General features: G+C 34.3%; 2 long non-coding RNA genes across 5 annotated transcripts in view; one reads left to right on the forward strand and one right to left on the reverse strand.

The window, feature by feature from the left end:
- Positions 1–23,887, reverse strand: part of LOC105378796 (uncharacterized) — a 56,436-nt gene extending 32,549 nt beyond the window's left edge. Inside the window, exons 1-3 of the long non-coding RNA XR_001737673.2 lie at positions 23,788–23,887; positions 22,936–23,028; positions 10,703–10,769 (exon numbers count right to left, since the gene is read on the reverse strand). This is a non-coding gene — a long non-coding RNA (uncharacterized LOC105378796). The remainder of the gene's footprint in view (positions 1–10,702; positions 10,770–22,935; positions 23,029–23,787) is intronic.
- The window catches only part of LOC105378797 (uncharacterized), a 396,491-nt gene that overhangs the window by 159,566 nt on the left and 212,982 nt on the right, over positions 1–23,943 (forward strand). The gene's annotated exons all lie outside the window — the stretch shown is intronic.

Here is a 23,943-nt window from a genome sequence, read left to right on the forward strand (position 1 = left end):
GTTTTTTGTATAAGCTCTAAATTGGAAGGACTATGTGTGAACATTTATTACTTATACTTTGAACATTAATACCATTAGAATCAGAATCGAAAATACTAACTTAAAATGTACATTAGGAAACATGCAGTATGCACAACAGGCAACATGTAGTATGCACAACAGGCAATAGTTAAAGCTTTCATTCTTTTGGAAAACTCTACTATAGGCCATGTACTTTTCCATGTGCTTATATATATGAATTCATACATTATGCACAACTTTGTAAGAAAATTGCCATTATTATCTTTACTTAATAGAAGAAAAAATTAAAGCACAAAGAGATTAAATAACTTGTCCAAAATGTCAAAGCCAGATAATTTGGCCACAAAGCCAAGATCTTAGCACTAATGCCATAGTACAGAAACACTTCAAGATGAATCTTGGATTTGATGACTGATTTCTCTCTCTCCATATTTTTATTATTACTGAGATTATAAAACCATAGCAGTTATCTGATTTAATATTATAAGTTGCTGTTTTATTCTTTATGTTAAACTAAGCTATTCCACAGTCTTATGACACACTACGAAATACGTTTATGCTTGTGCAAGTTTCCTATAAACCATTTGAGTCTTTGGCAATGCCACTAATAACAGAAACAATTTTTATTTGAGTATTTTAAGATTTTTTAAAATAGGTGATAACATCTGACTTGACATTTTCTTTCTCACTTTTCTGTAATTAACCTCTGTAAAAGTAACGAATAATTTCTAAGAATCTGTTTTCTGGCCACTGTTCTGAATACTTTAGTGAACTACCTAGTTTGAGACTCAATGCCATTTCTTTATTATCTCATTTAATTTATTTATTCATGTACAGAGTGATTACACTAACTTTAAGTTGTGGAGCCTTTACTTTGTCAAAGCACTTATCTTCTTTCTATTTCTAGTCTTACTATTTGTCTTCTGCACTTCAGTGTTTTATTGAAACTTTCCTATTATCTTTGTTTGTTTATCATTTGACTAGCCTAGATTTCTTTTTATTTTCAGATCTCATACCTTCAAGTCTATTATATTTCTACAACAATTTTCTTATCTATTGAGAATTTTTAGTTGGGTATCATTAATTTTGAATTTCTAGCACTTAGCACATAAGCATTTGTGAATTTAAATCATGGATGTTATACAATTGAAAAATAAAAAGTTAAATATGTAGACAATTGAAGTGATCATTTTTTTAAACAGAACTATCTTCAACTTCTCTACTTTTGTAACGTACCAATAACCAAAATCAAATATTAATCTTCTAGTTTTACTTTCTATTCAAATATGGTAATTTGAATTTATATTTATATTTTCACTTACCAATGTATTTTTATATATATATATTATTATATTGTATATAATTATATGTAATTTATATATAATATATAATTTTGCTGTTTGGACTCTAGTTTTTAGATCCTCATTATTTCTGACACTAACTTTATCCTGAATATGCTTATATTTATTTTTATGATTCCAGATTCTCTTCCATTTAACTTATTTTGTATATTTATGTCAGATAAATCTCCACCAAGTATGAAAATGTCAAACACTTACTCAAAATGCTTAAATAATTCTAATTCCTTTCCAGGGCTATGCCAGGAAAAGAACCAGCAAGGCATTTGTAATGAAAAACAATTTTTTATCTTTTATTTCAATAAGGAATTTCAGAGCCTTTCAGTAAATACTGTCTTGACAATTCCCAAATGGTGATAGTTATAAACATATTTTTACTAATTTTAACTACATTAGCTAATAAGAAGAAATTTATTTCAAATATAATTAGATGCATGCTATTAGACATCAAAGCCAAAGTCAACCTTTTAAAGTAAACACTCATGATAAAAACTGGGCAAAACAGCTTATAGTTTTATAAGCTGGTTTCATCATTATTGGTATGAAAAATAAAAAGTTAAATACATGGAGAACTGAAATAATCTTTTCTTTCTAGACAGAACTGTCCAACTTCTCTAGTTTTGTAACTTATACCAATACTGTTTTTGTATAATTATGGAAGCTATATTTAACTAATAATTTATTTTATTTTATTTTATTTATTTTTATTTTTTGAGACGGAGTCTCACTCTGACGCCTAGACTGGAGTGCAGTGGCGCGATCTCGGCTCACTGCAAGCTCTGCCTCCTGGGTTCACGCCATTCTCCTGCCACAGCCTCCCGAGTAGCTGGGACTACAGGAGCCCGCCACCACGCCCGGCTAATTTTTTTGTATTTTTAGTAGAGACGGGGTTTCACCATTTTGGCCAGGATGGTCTCGATCTCCTGACCTCGTGATCCGCCCGCCTCGGCCTCCCAAAGTGCTGGGATTACAGGCTTGAGCCACTGCGCCCGGCCAAATAAATAAATAAATAAATAAATAAATAATTTATTATGACACGAGTCACCTGTATTTGTTTATTCACTTATAAAGCATATGTTTGATATTAAAACATACCAATTAAAATAATCTCTACAAACTACTTTCATTTACCAATTTAATTAACAAAATAGAATAGGAAGAAAAAAATTGACTGTCATGTATAATAGAGCTTAAACTTAATAGACTGGAGATAACATTCTTAACTTGCTAAATACATGAAATAAAAAATTATTTAATATAGTCACTTTAACTAAAATAAATTACATCTTGACTTATAGTATAATTTCTATTAATAATTGATTGGACACGTGGTATTTGTTTTCTCAAAATGGAGATATGAAATTCTACAAAGCAGGACAATCCTCATTATGGAGGCTTTCATGGAACACACAACTAGTCTCATGCTTATATATGGGTTACATTATAAAAGTTTATTTTTACACTAGATCTTGGATGTAATCATGCTTTGCAGGAAGGAAAGATACTGTATTTTCCCAACTAACCTACAGACAACCGAAATTTATATTCACATGTGACAGGATTTCCAGCAGTGGCCTGGGAAAATGAGAAAGAAATCCTGTTCAGGAAATGGGATTGGCAAGAACTATCTCACTCAAATAATCCAGGCTCACTCTCTGGATTTGGAGCAATGTGTATTTGGACAACATTTGTTGAGTTATACCCCAGAAGGTTTTTTAAAAACTATGTACCTCCCCACCCATTTTAAAATTGACATATAAACAACTAAATTAAGAGCTAAAGATTTAAATGTTGCAGTGTCAATGCTCTTGATGTCACAGAGGACAACATTGAATTGAAAAATATCAATTTAAAAGTATGAGCTGAGGCCGGGCGCAGTGACTCACGCCTGTAATCCCAACACTTTCGAAGGCCGAGGCGGGCGAATCACGAGGTCAGGAGATCGAGACCATCCTGGCTAACACGGTGAAACCCCGTCTCTACTAAAAATACAAAAAAATTAGCCGGGTGTGGTGGTGGCGCCTGTAGTCCCAGCTACTCGGGAGGCTGAGACAGGAGAATGGCGTGAACCCGGCAGGCGGAGCTTGCAGTGAGCCGAGATCGCGCCACTGCACTCCAGGCTGGGCGACCGAGCGAGACTCCATCTCAAAAAAAAAGCAAAAAAAAAAAAAAAAGTATTAGCTAAAAAAGGACTCAGAAGAGTTGTACTGTAAATATGAAGATGATATAGAAAGTATGTAAGCAATTGTTTTTAATGAATTTTTATACGCAAGAGTGAACTATGATAAAATATGTGTAACGTATTAACTAAGTTAAAATATCTCAGTAAGTATAAATAAACATTCTAGATGATTAGAATAGATTGTATGGTAGTTTAGTTGGCAGCTTGTATTTCATGTTATTGGTGCTTCATAATTAATGGGGTGATTTGTAATCTATGGCATTTTAGATGTTATGAAATAGGCACTTCCCTCTAGTAGCTGTGCAAGGGATAGACTTGAGAGGCTGACCTAAATTGGATATTAAAAAAATTCAAATAAAGAACTCTTGTAATAGTCTAGGTGAGAGATAGTGGTAAGCCCCAATTAGAGGCAGTGGGGGCTATGGGGATTTGGATGAATAGAACAAGGCATATCTGAGAGAGCTATGAAGGAAGTAAAATGTTTTTAAAAATAGCAATATGTTTATGTGTCATAAGAGAGATAAAAAAGATTGAAGAAAAACTTCCTGGACCATTAATAATTCTTGGTATATTGTTAAAATAGTATATTATGTTTAAAGTGTTAAATATCTATAAGTAAATAGTAAAAGAGGAAGTCTATAATCAGAAAATGAAAACTAAACACAAAATTGTATGTGATACTGATTATAGTAATGCTTATTCAAAGATAGGCATAAGAGGAGTCATAGAGATCAATACAACAGTGTGTTTTGGCAAGGGATTTCTTTGTATTTTTTGTCCTTCTTTTACTTTTCAGGCAGTTAATCATGTGCAAAGCATATTCACCAAGGGCAATATTGGAATAAGGCTATGGGATATGTTAAGAAAACATTTAAATATTAATCTAACTTCATTCACCTGTAGATTACTACTGTAGCCTTTTATTTGGAAATAAATAATGAACACTCTTTAAGGGTCTCTTGTTACGTGATCTAAATAATCTCAGTAAGCTTTGCCTATTTGTAAGTTTGTAAAATGTTAAAATAGAAATAAGTTAAAAGAAAGCTACATTCTGTAATCATTTTCTTGTGTCCTTGAGTTTTTATAACATACATTTAATTTAAATTTTTAATTATTTTATAATAGAAATGTTTCTAAGTCCTAGTTTGATGTTTATAGCCTTGTTTCATTAGATTGTGGAATATCCCTCTAGCTAAAATGACATGCATGGTTTGACACTTTATTCCCACATTATACTAAGTCATATTGATCAACTGGATATTCTTCTGGCTGGGGCATTAGCCATTGTTTCCTAATGAGCAGTATAAACAGCCAACGTTCTGTTCACTGTTAAAAATTTCCCAGTCCTTTGATGAAAATATAATACGATTTACTCACTACGCACATCTGGCTAAGAGGTTTGCAGATTTCTTTGGGCCTGAAACTCACTCATTGCTATGTTAGTTTGTGTAATAACTCACTTTTCTCATACAGTTTCTTATGCTGTAAAGTAAGATACATTTAAACAGTTACAGTAAGTTTTAAAGGCTAAATAATTGATAGTGCAGTAATATGTGCATTAAGCACTGTTATTCTGAGAGAACTTACACAATTTAATAGAAAATGAGGACTCCTCATTTAAAAACACATATTTTTTTTCTGAGGTACAAAAATATGAGGGTTGTCTGAATGGCCATGAGAATGGAACCATGCCACTTACAAAAATTTGGGGACTGATTTCAATTCAGCCCTTTATTGTCCAATCTTGTCTTTGTTCTTTTGGCAAAGATTCACATTACTAAAACCTATTAGGGTTATTATTTTCTTTTCATCTACTCTACTATTTTATCTTTGGGGAAAAAAAGGAACCTTGTTACTACATATTTGACCCTCTTAAGAAAAATGGTTAATATGCCATAATTTTGTCTTTAGTGTTTTCTGTGACTTGCACCATATTTAGTTCCCACAGTGCTTGATTATAGCAAATTCAGGATATTTTCACATTCAAAGTAGATGGATAATTCTTAATAATCTCCAAAGTGCTTGCATAGTCACAAACAGTAATGTTCTTTCAATAAGGGTACCATTTCGATAGACTTTTTGACAGAAAAAAACACAACAGGGAAGATAAAAATTTATCAAATTTTGTTTTTTCTTTTAGATATAAATCAATGTTTTAAAACTTCTCCTGCTTTTATAAGAGCTATTAATACACAATGGTTTTTTTCCTAAGCAGGGGTCTTAATTTTGATTGAAAACTTTGAGAATTTTGAATATAATAGGAGAAGCAATTATACATATGGAAAATAAGACTGTATTAGTCCATTTCATGCTGCTGATAAAAACATACCCGAGACTGGGCAATTTACAAAATAAAGAGTTTATTGGACTTACTGTTCCACATGGCTGGGGAGGCCTCGCAATCATGATGGAAAGCAAGGAAAAGCCAGTCACATCTTACGTGGATGGCAGCAGGCAAAGAGAGAGTTTGTCCAGGGAAACTTCCGTTTTTAAAACCACCAGATCTCCTGAGACCCATTCACTATCACGAGAACAACACAGGGAAGACACAACGCCATGATTCAATCATCTCCCACCAGGTCCCTCCAACAACACATGGGAATTATGGGAGCCACAAATGAGATTTGAGTGGGGACACAGAACCAAACAATATCAGAGACCAAAATTCAAGAATTGCTGTTAAAAATGTGTAGTTTTCTAATGCTACATGCAAGAAGGAATGAAGGTGACACAAGCAAAATTTGGATGCCTATTACACCTCAGATTTTTTTTTGAGGTGCTTTGATGCTTTGATATTTTGGAATATTTTATAATATTGACTATGATCCATTGTTTAGGAAACTGAATTATATGTCAAATGTGCTAATACTATAATTTAAAGGGTATCAAATATTTTTCTAAAAAGTAAAAAAAAGTTTTATTCAATTTGTTGCAAATTTAGAATGTCTCAAACTGTGACAGTAGGAGGGGGCTTCAAGATGGCTGATTAGAGGCACCTGGCACTTGCCTCCTCCCGAAAAAAGGAGCAAAACAGCAAATAGATAATCATACACCGAATAGATTATCTAAGAGAGAACACAATAATTCAGCAGGGAAGTGGCAAAGTACCTCTAAGGCACAGAAGGGGGCAGAAGCAAAGCAACCAGCCCAGCTGGAATTGGTCAGAGACAGGAGAAACTACCTAGTGTGGGAAGAATGTAAGTGAGAAGTCACCAGTGTTCCACATTCCTACTGTGCTGCAATCCTAGCCATGGGAGAGCCCCTTGGCTCTCATGGGCCCTGAGACTAGTACTGGGAGCTGTACAGAGTTCACATGATGATATTGGTCCAGAGAGGGAGTCTGCACTAGGTTCCAAACACCAACTGAGACCAAAAACAGCTGCAGCATTGTGATATTTTGAGAGCACAGCCGCCACCGGACTACATCCTGCCCTTGGGCCTAACAGCCTCTGCATCTCCAAATCCCTGGAGACTCACTAACATCCCCTTATGTCCACCTAGAAGGCTGCAACATTATGACAACAGCTGGACCTAGCAGTGCTGCCAGGTCCCCAGCACTGCAATCTATGTAGTGTCCTACATCCCAGGAAATGGTTAATGAAGTGAACTGGGGAGCCTGTCCCTGGGACAAAGGGAACTGAAGCATATTGTCTTCAGAGCCTGAGAGCTACCTTCCTGGGGCCACTGGCACTGACGGCAACCCTCCTAAGGCCTGGGGACTAGTCCACCCAGGTGCCCTTCTAGGCCTAAAGACATGTCTTCCATGCCCACTGCCATTACTGCCACCATGCCACCTAGGGGTCTGGGGATCAATCCACCCACTTGCTACAGTTGGTGCTCACACACACCATCAGGTGGACTATCACCACCTCCAGAAGTGCCTGCATATGTAGTCCAGGGGGTAGGGGATCCACCCACTCTACCCACCACAGCCTGTGTTCATGTGCACCATCAGGGGCCTGAGGACAGGCCTGCCCCACCCACTACCCCTCTCTCCAGGGACTGTGCATAATGTCTGAGAGTCTGGTGACTGACCTGTTCTGGTTGTCATTGTGGACCCGTGCAGGCAAACCCATTCATCACCAGTGGTCAATTGCACCGTACAGGAGTCTGAGGAAACACACACCCCACTTGGCACTGCCCCTACCAGTCTTTGTACATGTCATCTAGTAGCCTGGGAATTTACTCTCCCTGCCTGCTGCTACTAGTTATAACACACCAGTTATGGGACTTCCCTGTGTGATGTTGCCTGCATACATTACCAGGGGCCTGAGTATTGACCCGTGCTGTCTGTTGAGGCCTGCACCCGTGAACCATCAAGGAGCCTGATGAGGCCAGGCACGATGGCTCACACCTGTAATCCCAGCATTTTGGAAGGCCGAAGTGGGTGGATCACCTGAGGTCAGGAGTTCGAGGCCACCCTGGCCAACATGGCGAAACCACATCTCTACTAAAAATACAAAAGTTGGGCGTGGTAGTGGGTGCCTGTAATCCCAGCTCCTTGGGAGGCTGAGGCAATAGTATAGCTTGAACCCAGGAGGCAGAGGTTGCAGTGAGCTGAGATTGCACCACCACACTTCAGCCTGTGTGACAGAGTGAGACTCCATCTCAAAAACAAACAAATAAAAAAAGAGCCTGATGACAGCTCTGCCCTGCTTCTTCCCCCTCTGCTAGTACCCACATTCATCTTCCAGGGACCTAGGGAATGACCAACATCAGCCACCACTGCTAACACTCATGCATGCCTTCCAGGGACTTGCTTGCTTCCAGGGACAAATTTCCATGATGGGCTTGCCCAGCATGCTACAACCAACGCAGCCAGCACCCACCCATATGCACACACCCTGCATGGGGGCCTGGGTACCAGGCTGTACAGCTTGCTGTTATTACCACTGGTGCCCATGCATGTCACCTGGGAGACCAAAGGTTAGCTCACCACTGCTACTGCCATCACTGATATGACATACTCCATCCAGAGGCCTGAGGATCTGTCCACCTACCTGGCTCACTACTGCCAGTGCCAGCATCTGAGCAAGCTGTCTGGAGGCCCAAGGATTAACCTGCCTGGACCTGCTACCACTGGTTTGTTTGTATGATGTCCAGGGGCCCAAGAGCCAACACACTCAGTCCACTGCCACCACCACTGGGACCTGAGGATTGGCCCACCTGGCGTCCCCATCCCCAGCAAAGCCTCATCATAGCCTCCACTAACAACCACACCCTAAGCCACTGAAGAACTCACAGACAACACTAACACTGATTACAGCTGAAGAAATTGTAACACTGCTACACTACACTGTATGCATATGCATACAACACTACCTCATTCACTGAGAAGCAAAGTGAAAGCACCCTACCAAAACAATAATATAGATACATCTATAGGAAAACATCTTACCCTATGAAAGCCAATCCATAGAACTGGAAGAAATGACTGTTAAACCAGATGTGCTGATATCTCAAAAACACAACAAACATAAAAAAGCAAGGAAATATGACACCTTCAGGAGAACAAAATAATTATTCAGCAACAGATTCCAATGGGAAATAAATCTGTGAAATGTTTGAAATGGAATTCAAATTAGTAATATTAAGAATAGTGAAATATAAGAGAACATAGAAAAATATAAAAGAAATGAGAAAAGCCATTCATGATTTGAGTAAGAAATTCACTAGCAAAATGGATATTCTAAAAAAGAACCAAACAGAAATCCTGGAAATGAAAAATTCAATGAGTGAAAAAAATACAATCAAGGGCTTCAATCACAGACTAAATAAGCAGAAGAAAAAATTTTTGAACTTTAAACAAGTGTTTTGAAATAACCTTGTCAGATAAAACCAACCAATCAACAAACAAAAAGCTAAAAAAGAAAGAGTAGAACCTGTGTGACATATGAGACAACATAAGGTGACCAAATATTGAAATTTGGGGTATCAGAGAAGGAAAAGAGATTGGCAAAGGAACAGAAAATCAATCAAACAAAATAATAACTGAAAACGTCTTCAATATTGGAGTAAATACAGAAATCCAGATACAGGAAGCTCACAGAACACCAAATAAATTCACCCCAAAAAGGTCTTCTTTAAGGTATATTATAGTCAAATTGTCAAAAGTCAAAGACAAAGGGAGAATTCTAATAAGAGCAAGAGAAAAGTGTCAGGTCACATGCAAGGGAAGCTCCATCAGACTAACAGCAGATTTCTCAACAGAAAGTATACAGGACAGGAGAGAATGTCGTGATATATTCAAATTGCTGAAAGAAACATAAACTGTGTCAGCCAAGAATACTTTACCCAGCAAAGCTATCCTTCAAATATGAAAAAGAAATAAAGTCTTTCAAAGGTAAGTAAAAAAATGAAGGAAGGCATCACCAATAGATCAGCCCTACAATAAATGTTTAGGGGACTCCTACATCTAGTAATGAATGAAAAAAATGTATCATTATGTAAACATAACCATGAAACACACTGATGGAGAAGACACAGAAATGAGAAAGTGAAAGAACTCAAATGTTACTACTACAGAAAACCACCAATCTCTAATGATATACAAGAGATAAATAAATTAACTAAGAATACGCAAAACAACTAGAAACAATTAACAAAATGACAAGAATAGGTACTCACCCATCAATAATATCTTTCAGTATAAATGGATTAAATTCACCAATTAGAAGATATAGATTGGCTGAAATGATTAAAAAAGAAGACCCAGATATATGCTATAAGAAACTCACTTCACTTGTAAAAGACACAAGTAGACTGAAAATAAAGAAATGGAAAATAATATTCCACGAAATAGAAACCAAAAGTGAGTAAAAGTAGCTAGAGTTGCAGCACATAAAACAGGATTTGAGTCAAAAAGAGTGAGAAGAGACAAATAAATTCATTAAATAATGATAAAGGGATAAATTCAGCAGGAGAATATAACAATTCTAAATGTATGCATCCAACAATGGATTACCCAGATATATAAAACAAATATTATTAGATCAAAAGGGATTTATATACTTTTACACAGTCATATTAGGGACCTCAATGCCCTGCTCTTAGCAATAAACAGGTTAACTAGGCAGAATATCAACAAAATACTTTGGATCTAAACTGAACTTTAGAACAAAATGGACTCAAGAATACTTACAACACATTTTATGCAGCAGCTGCAGAAAACACATTCTTGGATACATGGGACATTCTCCAAAATTACCCTACAAAACAAGTTTTGACACATTTTTTTAAAAGTCAAAATTACATCAAGTGTCTTCTTGAATGACAATGGAATAAACCTTGAAATCAGTAACAAACTTTGAAAACTGTATGAATATATGAAAATTAAATAACATGCTCCTGAATGACTACTGTGTCAATGCTGACATTAAGAAAATAAAAAGGTTTCTAAAAACAAATAAAAATGAAAACATAATGTATCAAAACATATGATATACAACAAAAGCAGTAGTAACAGGGAAGTTTGTAGCAATAAAGGCGTATGTCAAAAAAGCAGTAACATTTCAAGTAAACTACATAATGAAGCACTTCTGGGAACTAGAAATGCAAAGAAAAAGAGAACCCCAAATTAGCAGAAGTAAAGAAGTAATAAATAGCAGAGCAGAACTAAATGAAATAAAGAGTGTAAAAACAATACAAAGTATCAATGAAATGAAAAATTCTTTTTTTGAAAAGATAAACAAAATTGATAAACTGCTAAATTGACTAAGAAAAAAGACTCAAATAAATGAAATTAAAATGAAAAAAGGTTCATCAAAATGACAGTGGATCATCAGAGACTATTATGAAAAATTATGTACTAACAAACTGGAAAACATAAAGGAAATGGATAAATTCCTGTACACGTACAACCTACCATTATCATTCATTATCTCTTCAGGTTTTTTATTTCTTTCTAAGCCAGAAAGAAATATAATTTGAATATTTAGAAAAAGTACCTTTGAGGAATCAGTTTTAATATCTCCTTTTTTATTTTGATTTCATTTGAGTCTTCTTTTTTTCTTAATCAGTCAATTTGGCAGTTTATTAATTATCTTTCTAAACAAGAAAGAAATAGAAAAATAGAAGAGACCAAAAATGATAATGGGAATGAGTAATGATATTGAGTGAATAATAAAAATTTTCCCAACAGAGAAAAAGCCCAGATGTCTTTACCGCTGAATACTACCAAGATTTAAAATATGATTAACATAATTTGTCTCAAACTTTCTCAAAAAATTAAGGAGAAGGTAATACTTCCAAATTCATGCTACAAGACTGCATTACTCTGATGCCAAAACCAGACAAGGACACAGCAACAACAACAAAAATCTACAGACCAATATCCCTGACGAACATAGATGCAAAAATCCTCAACAAAATACTAGCAAATTTTAATCCAAGAACACATCAAAAATATACTACATTATGATCCCATAAGATTTATCACAGGAACTAAAATATAGTTTGACATAGTGCAAGTCAATAAATGAGATATATCAACAAAAGGAAGAACAAAAACCATATAATTATCTCAATAGATGCAAAACCCACTTAATAAAATTAAACAACTCTTCATGATAAAACTCTCAACAAATTAGGCATAGAACAAACATATCTCAGCATTATAAGGACCATATATGACAAACACACAGCTAACATTATACTGAATGAGAAAAAACTAAAAAGTGAAACATGACTAAGATGCCAACTTTTACCATTCATATTCAACATAGTAGTAGAAGTCCTAGCCAGAGCCATCAGGCAAGAGAAAAAAATGAAAAATATCATATTGGAAGAGAGAAAGTAAAATTATCCTTCTTGCAAGTGACATCATATTTGAGAAAAACGTAGACTACACCACAAAAAAATCTTGAAACTTAAAAGTAAAATTGCAGGATACAAAATCAATATACAAAATAATCTAATGCTTCTATACCAATAACAAACTAGCTGAGAGAGAAATCAAGAAAGCAATGTCATTTACAATAACTGCAAAACATATAAAATACCTAGTAACAAATTTAGTCAAGGAGGTGAAAGCCCTCTTCAAGGAAATCTACAAAACCCTGATGAAAGAAATTAAAGGACACAAATAAATAGAAAGATATTTCTTGCTTATGGACTGAAATAATTAATATCATTAAAATGACCATACAACCCAAAGCAATCTATAGATTCAATGCAACTCTATCAAAATTTCAATGACATTCATCACAGAAATAAATAAATAACTATCCTGAAACTCCTATGAACCCCCCAAAAAACCCAGGTAGCCAAAGTAACACTCAGGAAAAAGAACAAAGTTGGAGCATGACAAAACCAAACTTCAAAATGTACTATAAAGATATAGTAACCAAAACAGCATGGTATTGTAATAAAAACAAACACAAAAACTAGTGCAGTGTTCCACTGGTTTACAGATAACCCAGAAATAAATCCATGTATTTAAACCCAATTGATTTTCAACAAATGTGCATAGAGCTTAAATTTGGAATAGGACACCCTGTTTAAGAAATAGTACTGGGAAACCTGGATATCCACATGCAGAGGGATGAAAACAGTTCCCTACCTCTCACTGGATACAAAAATCAACTAAAAATGGATTAAACACTGAAATGTAAAATCCAGAACTATAAAATTACAAGACGATGTCATAGGGTAAATACCTCAAAACATTAGGCTAGAGATTTATGGCTAAGGCCTCAAAATCACAGGCAACAGAAACAGAAATAGACAAACGAGGCCATTTTAAAATGTATAAAAAGTTTCTTCACAGCAAAGGAAAGAACAGAGTCATGATAAAACTTGTAGGATGGGAGAAAACATTTACAAACTATTCATCTGACAAGGGACTAAAGTTCAGAATATAGAAGGAAGTTAAACAACTCAACAAAAACAAAATAATAATTTTAAAGTGAGCAAATAATATGAGTAGACATTTCTCAAAAGAAGGCATACAAATGGCCAATAAGTATATGGAAAAAAAGTTCAATATCAGTAACAGGGAAATGCAAGTCAAAACCACAAATAGATGTAATTTTACCCCAGTTAAAATGTCTATTATCAAAAAGACAAAAATAAATGCTGGCAATGATATAGAAAAAGGATAGCTCTTGTATACGGTTGGTAGGAATGTAAATTAGTAGAGCCTTTATGGAAAACGGTATGTACGTTTCTCTAAAAACTAAAAATATAATTATCATATGATCCAGCAATCTCACTACTGTATGTTTATCGAAAGGAAATCAAATCAGTGTATTCACAATAGCTAAGGTATGGAATCAACTAAGAGTCTGTCTATGCATGAATGGATAACTAAAATGTGGTAGATATACACAATGGAATATTACTCAGACATAATAAAGAATGAAATTTTACCATTTGCAGCAACATGGATGGAACTAGAAGTCATTATGTTAAGTGAAATAAGCCAAGCACAGAAAGAAAATATAGTATGTTCTCACTCATATGTGAAAGATAGAAAAATTGATCCCAAGGAGGTAGAGAATAGAATGATACTTAACAGAGGCTGAGACTGCTGAGGGTAGGAAGGTGAAGTGAGGTTTGTCAATGGCTACACACATACAGTTAGATAGAAGGAATAATTTCTAGTGTTCAATAGCACAGTAGAGGCACTATAGTTATCAACAATATATTGTATGTTTCAAAATAGTAAGTGGAGAAGGTTTGAAATCTTCCCAACACTAAGAAGTAATAAATGTTTGAAGTGATGGAATCCTAAATACTGTGATTGGATTATTACACATGGTATTCATGTTTCAAAATATCACATGCACCTCATAAATAAATTTTTATGCATCAATAAAAATTGTTTTAAAAAATGTCTTTAACTGGCAGTTTTTATAAATGTAATATTGTCTATTAGGAGGGCCTTTGAGTTCTTCAAAGATGTTCACTTTATTACAATTTGTAATCAAACTATCTATTAATATAAAACATTTACCTTGAAATGTATTGCTATTTTATTTTCTTTCCAGATTTTCTTCTTTGATAAGAAATTTGATTGAAACATTTCAATAAAGTGTCATATTTTCATATCATATCAGTGGTGTGAGTGCATGGTTGTGGGTATAGGACTAATGTTGGACAGGGCTAGACTAAGACGGTATTTATTGGTGATAGATTGTATAGGAAAACATGATTCATGTAATACAGTAGGAAAGAAAAATAAAATGTCAAAATAGTGACTAACATATATCAGTTGGGTTATTGAACGGGGTTTGGGAAAATCTAACAAAGTTTCATTTTGTGCCTTATAAATTGGAGGCAATGACACTCTATCAGCATAGGAATAGTCTATCCAGTGAAAACACTGATTGAATAGGCATTTAGACTAGAACATGAATGCAGATGTGGAATTACAGATTCATTTTTAAAAATTGAGTGAAAGAGAATACAAATAAATATTTAAAGAATTAGAATTATTGGAATGTCTTAGGAAAACCATGCACATTTAAAAAGAAAGAGCATAAAGAATCAGGCTTTGAAAAAAAAAACCCTTCAGATTATTAGGGAAGAAAAACAGAAACAGTGATATGGAAGTCATTGGATAAATAGGAAAATAACTTAAATCATGTATTACTAGAAGTGAAATAGAATTCAGATATTTTGTTTAGTAATGCCTCTCTATTTTCTTTCTTTTTTTTAATCTTGCGGGTTATTTTTTAAATAAGGCTATAAAGAAACGAATAGAGAGTTTGTCCTTTATTCTTCCCTTCCTCCCTCCCTCTCCCCTCCTCTCCCTTCCTCTCTCTCTCTCTGATGGTATCATCTTCTTTCCATTTGTGCCGTGTTTCTTACAACTTCACAGTGTAAGCCTGCACTTTAACTGTGGTGAATGCTATCTCATGGTGCTTTTTATTTGCATTTCCCTTGTGATTAGTGATGTTGAGCATTTTTTCATATACCAGTTTGCCATTTATATGTCTTCTTTTGAGGAATGTCTATTTAGATTCTTTGCTCACTTTTTAATGGGATTATTAGTTTTTTTGCTGTTGAGTTGTTTGAGTTTCTTATCTATTCTGATTATTAATCATCTTTTGAATGGATAGTCTGCAAATATTTTCTCTCTTTCAACAGGTTACCTTTTTACTTTTGATTTTTTCCTTTGCTGTACAGAAGGTTTTTTCCTTGATATAATACTGTTTGTCTATTTTTATATTGGTTGCCTGTGCATTTGGAGTTTTACCCAATCAAATTTTTGCCCAGACCAATGTCCTAAAGCATTTCCCCAATGTTTTCTTTGAGTAGTTTTATAAGTTTGGTCTTACATTTAAGTCCTAAATCTATTTTAAGTCAATTTCTGTATCTGATGAGAGATAGAGATCTACATTTATTATTCTGCATACAGCTATCCAGTTTTCCCAGCACCACTTGTTGAAGAGGGTGCCCTCTTCAACACCCTAAGCAGACAAGCTTAGCCAATCACCTTATTGTCTCTTACAGCACTACTTCACATCAAGATTCCTACATTTGAATCTCTGGTCCTGGCCAGACCTTTTGTTTTCAGCTATCTAAATGCTTTTAATTAATTCATTGCCATCTATCTCATGCACCATTCCTAATGTTTCTATACCTCACTGACCTTATTATGTTTTCAAACTCTAATAACATTGTATTTATTTTTTAAATTTGGGAATTGCATAGAAACTTTCTTGTGTGCTTTCATATATATATATAAATATGTATGTATATATGTATACACATATATAGAAATATAGAAATATGTATGCACATGTATGTGTGTATATAGATATAGAGTTGATCTTCATCTATGTATATGCATACTTGGGTGCACATGGACATGTAGATGAAAGTAATAATCACTGCAGACTCCAAAATGGGGGTGGTTGAGTGGGGTGCAGGTTGAAAAATTACTTACTAGATACAATGTCCAATATTTGGGTGATGGTGTACTAGAAACCCAATCCCCACCATTACGTATGTAATACCCATGTACCAAACAAGTACATGTACCCCCCAATGTAAAATAAAAGTTAAAGAAGAAGTGTCATTTCTATATTTACCAAATGTATGTCTTAAATCAATGGATTAAAATTATTTTTACTTGTCCAAATTTACTCGATCAATATACACAAGGCATTAATTTTTTTTAATTTATGTCAATTGAGTCAATTAATTCACTGGGTAACAATGACTTGGTTACCATTCACAACCTTCCATTCAAATGGCTTCTTGGCCACCACTGAAAGGGAGAAAGACTGAGACTCAAATTAAGAAAGAATTCATATTCTGATAAAGCTTTTCCTATTTTACATGATATTTTGATGCACTTTAAAAGAGTGAATCTCAAGCCTATTCTAAAGTGGTTAATTTTAAAGATGGATATCTGAAGCCAGCTCTAAAATAGAATTATGGCAATGAAATAATAAGGCAATTATACATTGGCTGTATGCATATGTCTACATGTTCTTCACAAAATTGTTTCTTCTAAAAAAAGTAGGCACTTAATGAAATTCTTAGCTCAATCCACAATAACTTCATTGACAGAGTGGAGCTGTTAGAAAGACATAAGCATAGCCATTATAAGAAGCTGATGATTAATAACAACTTCTGTTGAATACATAGTAGCTATTTATTGTGGTGCTAGCAGATGATTATATACTAAGCATATTGTAGAATGCTTCAGTATAAATTAGATGAATGGTTTTCTTGTTAAGAATTTTAAAGGGCAAATAACGTTGACTATATTTATATAGCTAGAGGCCAATAAAACAGATTTTTTTGTTATTCAAACCCAAAGCTGACAAGATATTTTAAATGCACTGTATTTTTAGATGAACATGAAAATTTGGGGTCGAATCTCCTTTCATTAAGGCACCATAGACTTAACTTTTATGGCATGATATATTTCTGTCATAAACAATAGAACTCACAAAATCTCTATATACATATTTAATAGGTCAAGCATGTGCTATACAAACCTACAAAATACCTTTCCATTTTCATTTTTTTAAGTGATAGTCTTTTCTTATCCTCCAAGGAAATGTTCCTTAATATAAACTTACAATACACCAGCCTGGCCAATGTGGTGAAACCTCGTCTCTACTGAAAATACACAAATTATCCAGGCGTGGTGGTGCACGCTTGTAATCCCAGCTACTTTGGAAGCTGAGGCACGAGAATCATTTGAACACCAGAGGCAGAGGTTGCAGTGAGCCAAGATTGCACTACTGCCCTCTAGCCTGGGTGACAGAGTGAGACTCTGTCCCCAAAATAAGACAAACAAACAAACAAAAAAAACTTACAACATAAATGGAGCGATACATGCAACCACAAGCATTGATGTTTCCTTATAGGCAAAATAACAGCAATGTTTTTCATTTGTTTTGACAACTAAAGGCAAATGCTTTACAGACACTTTCTTTGTAAAGAGAAAAATAAAAACGTTGAAAGATTTGATTAAAATGTATTAACTCAACCTAATAACAAATTATTGTTAACATTTATATGCCCTGCATTCTCTTTTGATTATAAAATCCTTACCATTTTGAAGGAATTCAATGTGCTTTAAAATTCTCTTAAGGAAATCTTATTAGTAAAACTCCACAGGAAAAGTACACATGAATCCACAGAGTGAGCCCTATGAAAAACTATGACATACATTAAAAAAAAAAAATAAATTTGTTTTTAAATCAGCCTTTGCTACCTTCCTATTTACCAATTGGTTCTCCCATTTATTGTCCCAGTTTTCACAGATAGAGCACAATTTTTAAGATCAATTCCCTGTTGTTAGGAAGGCCTGACATCCTGGCAGCCCTATTTGTAGCACTTCCACTGAGAGTTGGTCTATCCTGAAGCACTTCAGGCTGTAAACCAATCCCTTCACATGAAGTCACTGAATCTGGTTCTAGGTTGTGTAGATTGTCCCTTGAATCAGGCAGTCAGCAAAGAGGTCAATTATGGGCAGAAATCCATCCAACCTTCCAGTGCCAAGCCAGTGGTGCCCTGTTTTCATCCTCCTTCTGTTTCCTACCTCTTTTTTTCTAAGTAATGTCTCTCATACTTTTCTGAAATTTAATTTCTATAAAGTAACCATGTTTTGTGATCACTTAACAAGCTACATCTCCTGCTGAAAGCAGCAGCATTTTAATAGATAACTTCTGAAAACTTCCTTTAATATTCCAGAGAATCAAACCTACAAATAGTAAAATTTAAATAAAATTTTACTTAAAATTTTAAGTAAACTACCATGGCCATTTTTATATAGCTGTGGATACTGTAGAGTTACTGGTTATTGGTTACTGTTTTATTTTAAACATACATAGACATAGACTGAACATATATTATTTCATTTATTATGAAAGAAAATTACTAAACTAACTCTTTATTTTAGCTTTAAGATAAAAGAAATAAAGGCCAGGTGCTGTGGCTCAAGCCTGTAATCCCAGCACTTTGGGAGGCTGAGGCAGGCGGATCATTGAGGTCAGGAGTTCCAGACCAGCCTGGCCAACATGGTGAAACCCCCTCTGCACTAAAAACACAAATATTAGAAGGGCGTGGTGGTGCGTGCCTGTAATCCTAGCTACTCGGAAGGCTGAGGCAGGAGAATCGCTTGAACCCAGGGGGGCGGAAGTTGCAATGAGCTGAGATCATGCCACTGCACTCCAGGCTGGGTGACAGAGTGAAACTCTGTCTAAAAAAAAAAAAAAAAATATGGTGGGGGGGAAATAAAATCATGAAAAATTAAAATAATCTGAGATGTTTAAATTCTAAATTCTTCCTGGGAAAAAGAATGTATCTGTGTTAATAAAGCATGACCATCCTAACTGCTTTCATGCTAGTTATTTTTTTCTGTTTCCTTAAACTAATAGCCAATGTGTCCAAACATAGAGAGGAGAAACAATTCCTAAGTAAGGGGTCAAATTCCAGTAATATGTAGAAATGATACAGAAATTTTATTATGTTTACAAACCAAACAGAAAATTCATCTACTGCTTAATATTATTCTTACCAAATTGGATGGAACCTAATTGTTGTAACAGTAGGTAGGCTGCGTACTTCTTTTCATTCTCACTAATGAACAATATTTAAATTGCTGAAATAGCTCCTGTCATTTTCCTGTTTATTTCTAACCTACTTTTCCTCTTATTACCATTAGAACACATATTGTTTAATTGAGTCTACTTTACTACTTGGTTCACCTTTGCCTTATGAGTTCCTTAGAAGGAGAAAACACTCTGTATTTTTGAACAGATGCTTCATTATGGGAGGTGAGTAGCTCAGTTACATTGCCATTTCACCTTTTTCCCCATGTCTGGCAGTTGTTGTATAGGCTGTTAATCAGCTTTAATAGCAGATGAGACCAGCCTCTTGCTCTAAAGGGCATGAAAACTTTTTTATTTGTCTCACTCTCTTCATGGTTCGTTAAGTACAATGTAGAGTCATTTTACTGCAGCTAGTGGACTCCAAAAGGACCTGACAGTTAAATGAAAGTTGTCAGTCTTCCTTCTCTTTTAGCTAGATTGGGTAATAAAAGGGCAGAACCTGGAAGCGAAAACCAAAAGTGAGATCATGTGCCAAACAAATAAAATAAATGTAATGAGTTCTTGCAAAATGAAGGAGAAGAACGCAGGAGTATTTAACTGTCTAGACAAATAGAGGCCAGTGGTAATAAATCTATAATGAATGGCTTTAATAAATACAACTGTGTTTTGCATAATAGATAAGTGGAATGCTTGTGGTCTACAATTTACCAAGAAGAATTCTTATAAGGTGCAATGGAAAAATAGCATTTAAGTAAAGAAATTGCTGAGAAATTGTTAACAATTGTAGTTTATTCTACATGAGAAATTTAAGGAATTAGAAATTGTTGATATTTATCTATTCTTACTCAAAAGAAGACGTGTACTTCCACTTAATTAACTTTTCACTTTTAAAGTAAAGTTCCAATGATTAGTCATTGTTGTGCCCACAAATGAAGAAATTCAGCTTCAATTAGGAAGCATTTTCTTGCTTCTTTTAGTGTTTCTGAATAAAACATCAGAATTTGTTTTAAAAAATTACTGTGCAAACTATTCACAATAGCAAAGACTTGGAACCAACCCAAATGTCCAACAATGATAGACTGGATTAAGAAAATGTGGCACATATACACCATGGAATACTATGCAGCCATAAAAAATTATGAGTTCATGTCCTTTGTAGGGACATGGATGAAGCTGGAAACCATCATTCTCAGCAAACTATCCCAAGGACAAAAAAACAAACACCGCATGTTCTCACTCATAGGTGGGAATTGAACAATGAGAACACATGGACACAGGAAGGGGAACATCACACAACGGGGCCTGTTGTGGGGTGCGGGGAGCGGCGAGGAATAGCATTAGGAGATATACCTAATGTTAAATGACGAGTTGATGGGTGCAGCACACCAACATGGCACATGTATACATATGTAACTAAACCTGCACATTGTGCACATGTACCCTAAAATTTAAAGTATAATAAAAAAAATTACTGTGCAAAAATTTTATAAAGAATGTATAAATGTCCATATATGATTCTTGTTCCTATATTCTAAAATTTAGGATAGATTTTACCCTACAGTTAAGAAAAGTCCTCTGAAGCCTCCCACACCAAATTATAATTAATTACACAACTTGACCTTTGTTTTTTGAGAAGGATCCAGATTTTATAATTTACTTTGTAAGCTTTGAAGCTTGAAGTGGTTACTATCTAATATTTGCATTGCTGGAGGAAGAAAGGGGATAAGACAGAATTTACATTAATGCTTCTACTATTTTTGGGGGGGAAAACAAAGCAGAAGAAAACTGAAACAAAGTGATTAGAGGGTTAGAAGACAAAGAAGGTAAAGGTAGTAAGTGATAAGAAAGAAGTTTTGAATAAGATTTGTCAATATTTTTAGTTTTCAAGGTGGTCAAAATGATAAGGAGTTCTGAAAGGACATTTGATTATTAATGCCTTAAGATATACCTATAACCCACAAGAAAAGTCATAAAAACTAACAAAAGAGATCATATAACCTGTATATTTTTTGGAATTCACAAAATGATCGTTAAAAATACCAGTTTAGGAGCATCTGTCAGCATATAAAGAATTAATAGATGCCAAGAAAGAGTAATTAGTCAATATGTCTAAGTGGTCTAAGATTTTCAGTGAATGGTAACAAAGTGTGCATAGCAATAGAAAAAAAATAAGTGAATGAAACAAAGCATAAAAGGTTTGAGGTCACCATGTAAATGTCACATTCAAATTTGTTAAATAGTCAGATAACTGGGAAGACAAATGTTACGAGTTATTTGAAAATAAATCAGAGACTTTTTCTATAGGTAAAAATAAATTATATACTCTGTACTGAAGGAGTATATCTCCCCACTTTTCATCTTCTGTAGCTGAAATGCTGTGTTAATAAGAAAAGCTACAAAATGACCTGGGTATTGGTAGGGTTAAAGGATAAAAAAAACACATTATATACCTTCCAGGGAAGGAACTCATTGAAATGGGTAATTGTTATTCATATTTAAAAAGAAAAGAACATATATTTTGGGCTATATGTACTTAAGCAGTTAAAGAAAACATAAATTATTAAAACATTAAAAATGCCATTAAATTGATAAGAAGTGTTAATTTGAGCTAGTTCAACCTTATAAATCACTTCCTGAAAAACATCTACAGTAAGAGCTGCATCATAAGACTAAATTATACAGAGTCAGATGAAGCATAAAGGAAGATGTATGATTTGTCACGTAGATGTTAAGTGCCTATAAGAAAGCATGATGGTTTAAAAAATTTATCCCAAAGAAAATTGTTCATGGAATATCATAAGGTGGTTTGAGCTATTAACTTCTATAAAGGCTTTACAGTTGTATCTATATTTTGTACTGACTTTAAATTTTATGTCCTCAACCCACCCTAGTACAGACTGTATATATATATGTATATATAAAATACAAAATATCTTCTGTAAAAATAAAAATTCTGTGTATACTTGCCTTCCTGGAGTTATGTCAAGAAATTTTTTAATATGTTATTTCTTAGATAAGTTTTTAAGTTTACAGAAAAATGCCAAAAATTTTTAAGGAGCAGATTTGCAACTTATAAACAGTCAGTAATATGTAATCACAGCTGGGTTGTTTTTGTGTTTGTGTGGGAAAGAAATAAACAGATACATAAATCTAACTCATGCAATTTCTAAAGTGAATCAAAATAATTTTACAAGTGATATCAAGGGAAGGAATACAATTTTGTGATTAAAGTATAGTATTTTAAATAAATTTCAATCTGTTATGAGATTTTTAAATTATAATTTTATTAAGACTTACTCAAGTTTCAAGAAAAACTTAGCCAGGTGCAATTTCCCTTTCAATATTTTGCTCTCACCTGTAAAACTTGAGTGGTTGCGTTTTGGGAAGGTCTGGAGCAAAAGAGAATGGGAAAGGGTCTTCTCCGACCAACTCCAAACATTATTACTGCCTAGGAGAAGAAAAAATAAATCAAAGAGAACTAGCATTTTTTGAATCTCTTTATGTTTACATTATTCTTCAAGATCAAAAAATCACTAAAAATCTGATGATAACCCCCAACTCCTCATTAAAGTTGTGTTTGTTAAAATCATTATGATTCTACTTACTGCTAAAACCTGGGGGCACTACATAGTGTTTGTTATATTCAGAGTATCAAAATGATTTAAGTTTTAATCTCCCCCTTTTATGCTATTTATTTATAAATGTTGTTTATTCCTCCTAAAACTCTTGATTCCTCTGTTTTCATAGCACTACATGCTCCTGTTATCCTTTCCTAAATACCAGACTTTACGTGTTTTGCAGACTTTCCCCTCTTCCCACCTCACAAAATATACTAAATCCCAACCATTATTTATATTCAGAATGAATATATTTCAACAGAGACTAGTTTACAGTCCCAGTCATCTAAACCTGTTCCCAGCTTCACATGACCCATGGAAACTAAAACTGAACTCTGAATTTTCTTCCTCAATACTTTGCACTGCCCTATCTTTCCTTCTCAGAAAATGGGACCATCAATCATCCAGTAGTTTCTGTGAATCTTGGCAATAATCCCTTCACCCTTTCTATTTTTCCCATTTTCAGTTTGCCTATAGGCCTTACACTGTAGCATACACTCCCTTAATATATATCAAATCAATGAATTTACTTCCTTCTGTTTCCCCTTATTCCAAATGGTCATCCTGTCTAATCTTTATTATTGCAATACCTTTTCAACTGGTCTCTACTTCCACTCTGGCCTCCAATCCACTCTCCATGTATTAGTAAGAATGAGATTCATTAACAAATGAAATCACATCATGTTACTCCTAAAAGTGAAAAGAAAATAAGTAAGAGACATAGGGAGAATAAATGGAAAAATCAG

This window comes from Homo sapiens, chromosome 1 (genome assembly GCF_000001405.40).
Source record: "Homo sapiens chromosome 1, GRCh38.p14 Primary Assembly".
NCBI classification, from domain to species: Eukaryota; Metazoa; Chordata; class Mammalia; order Primates; family Hominidae; genus Homo; species Homo sapiens.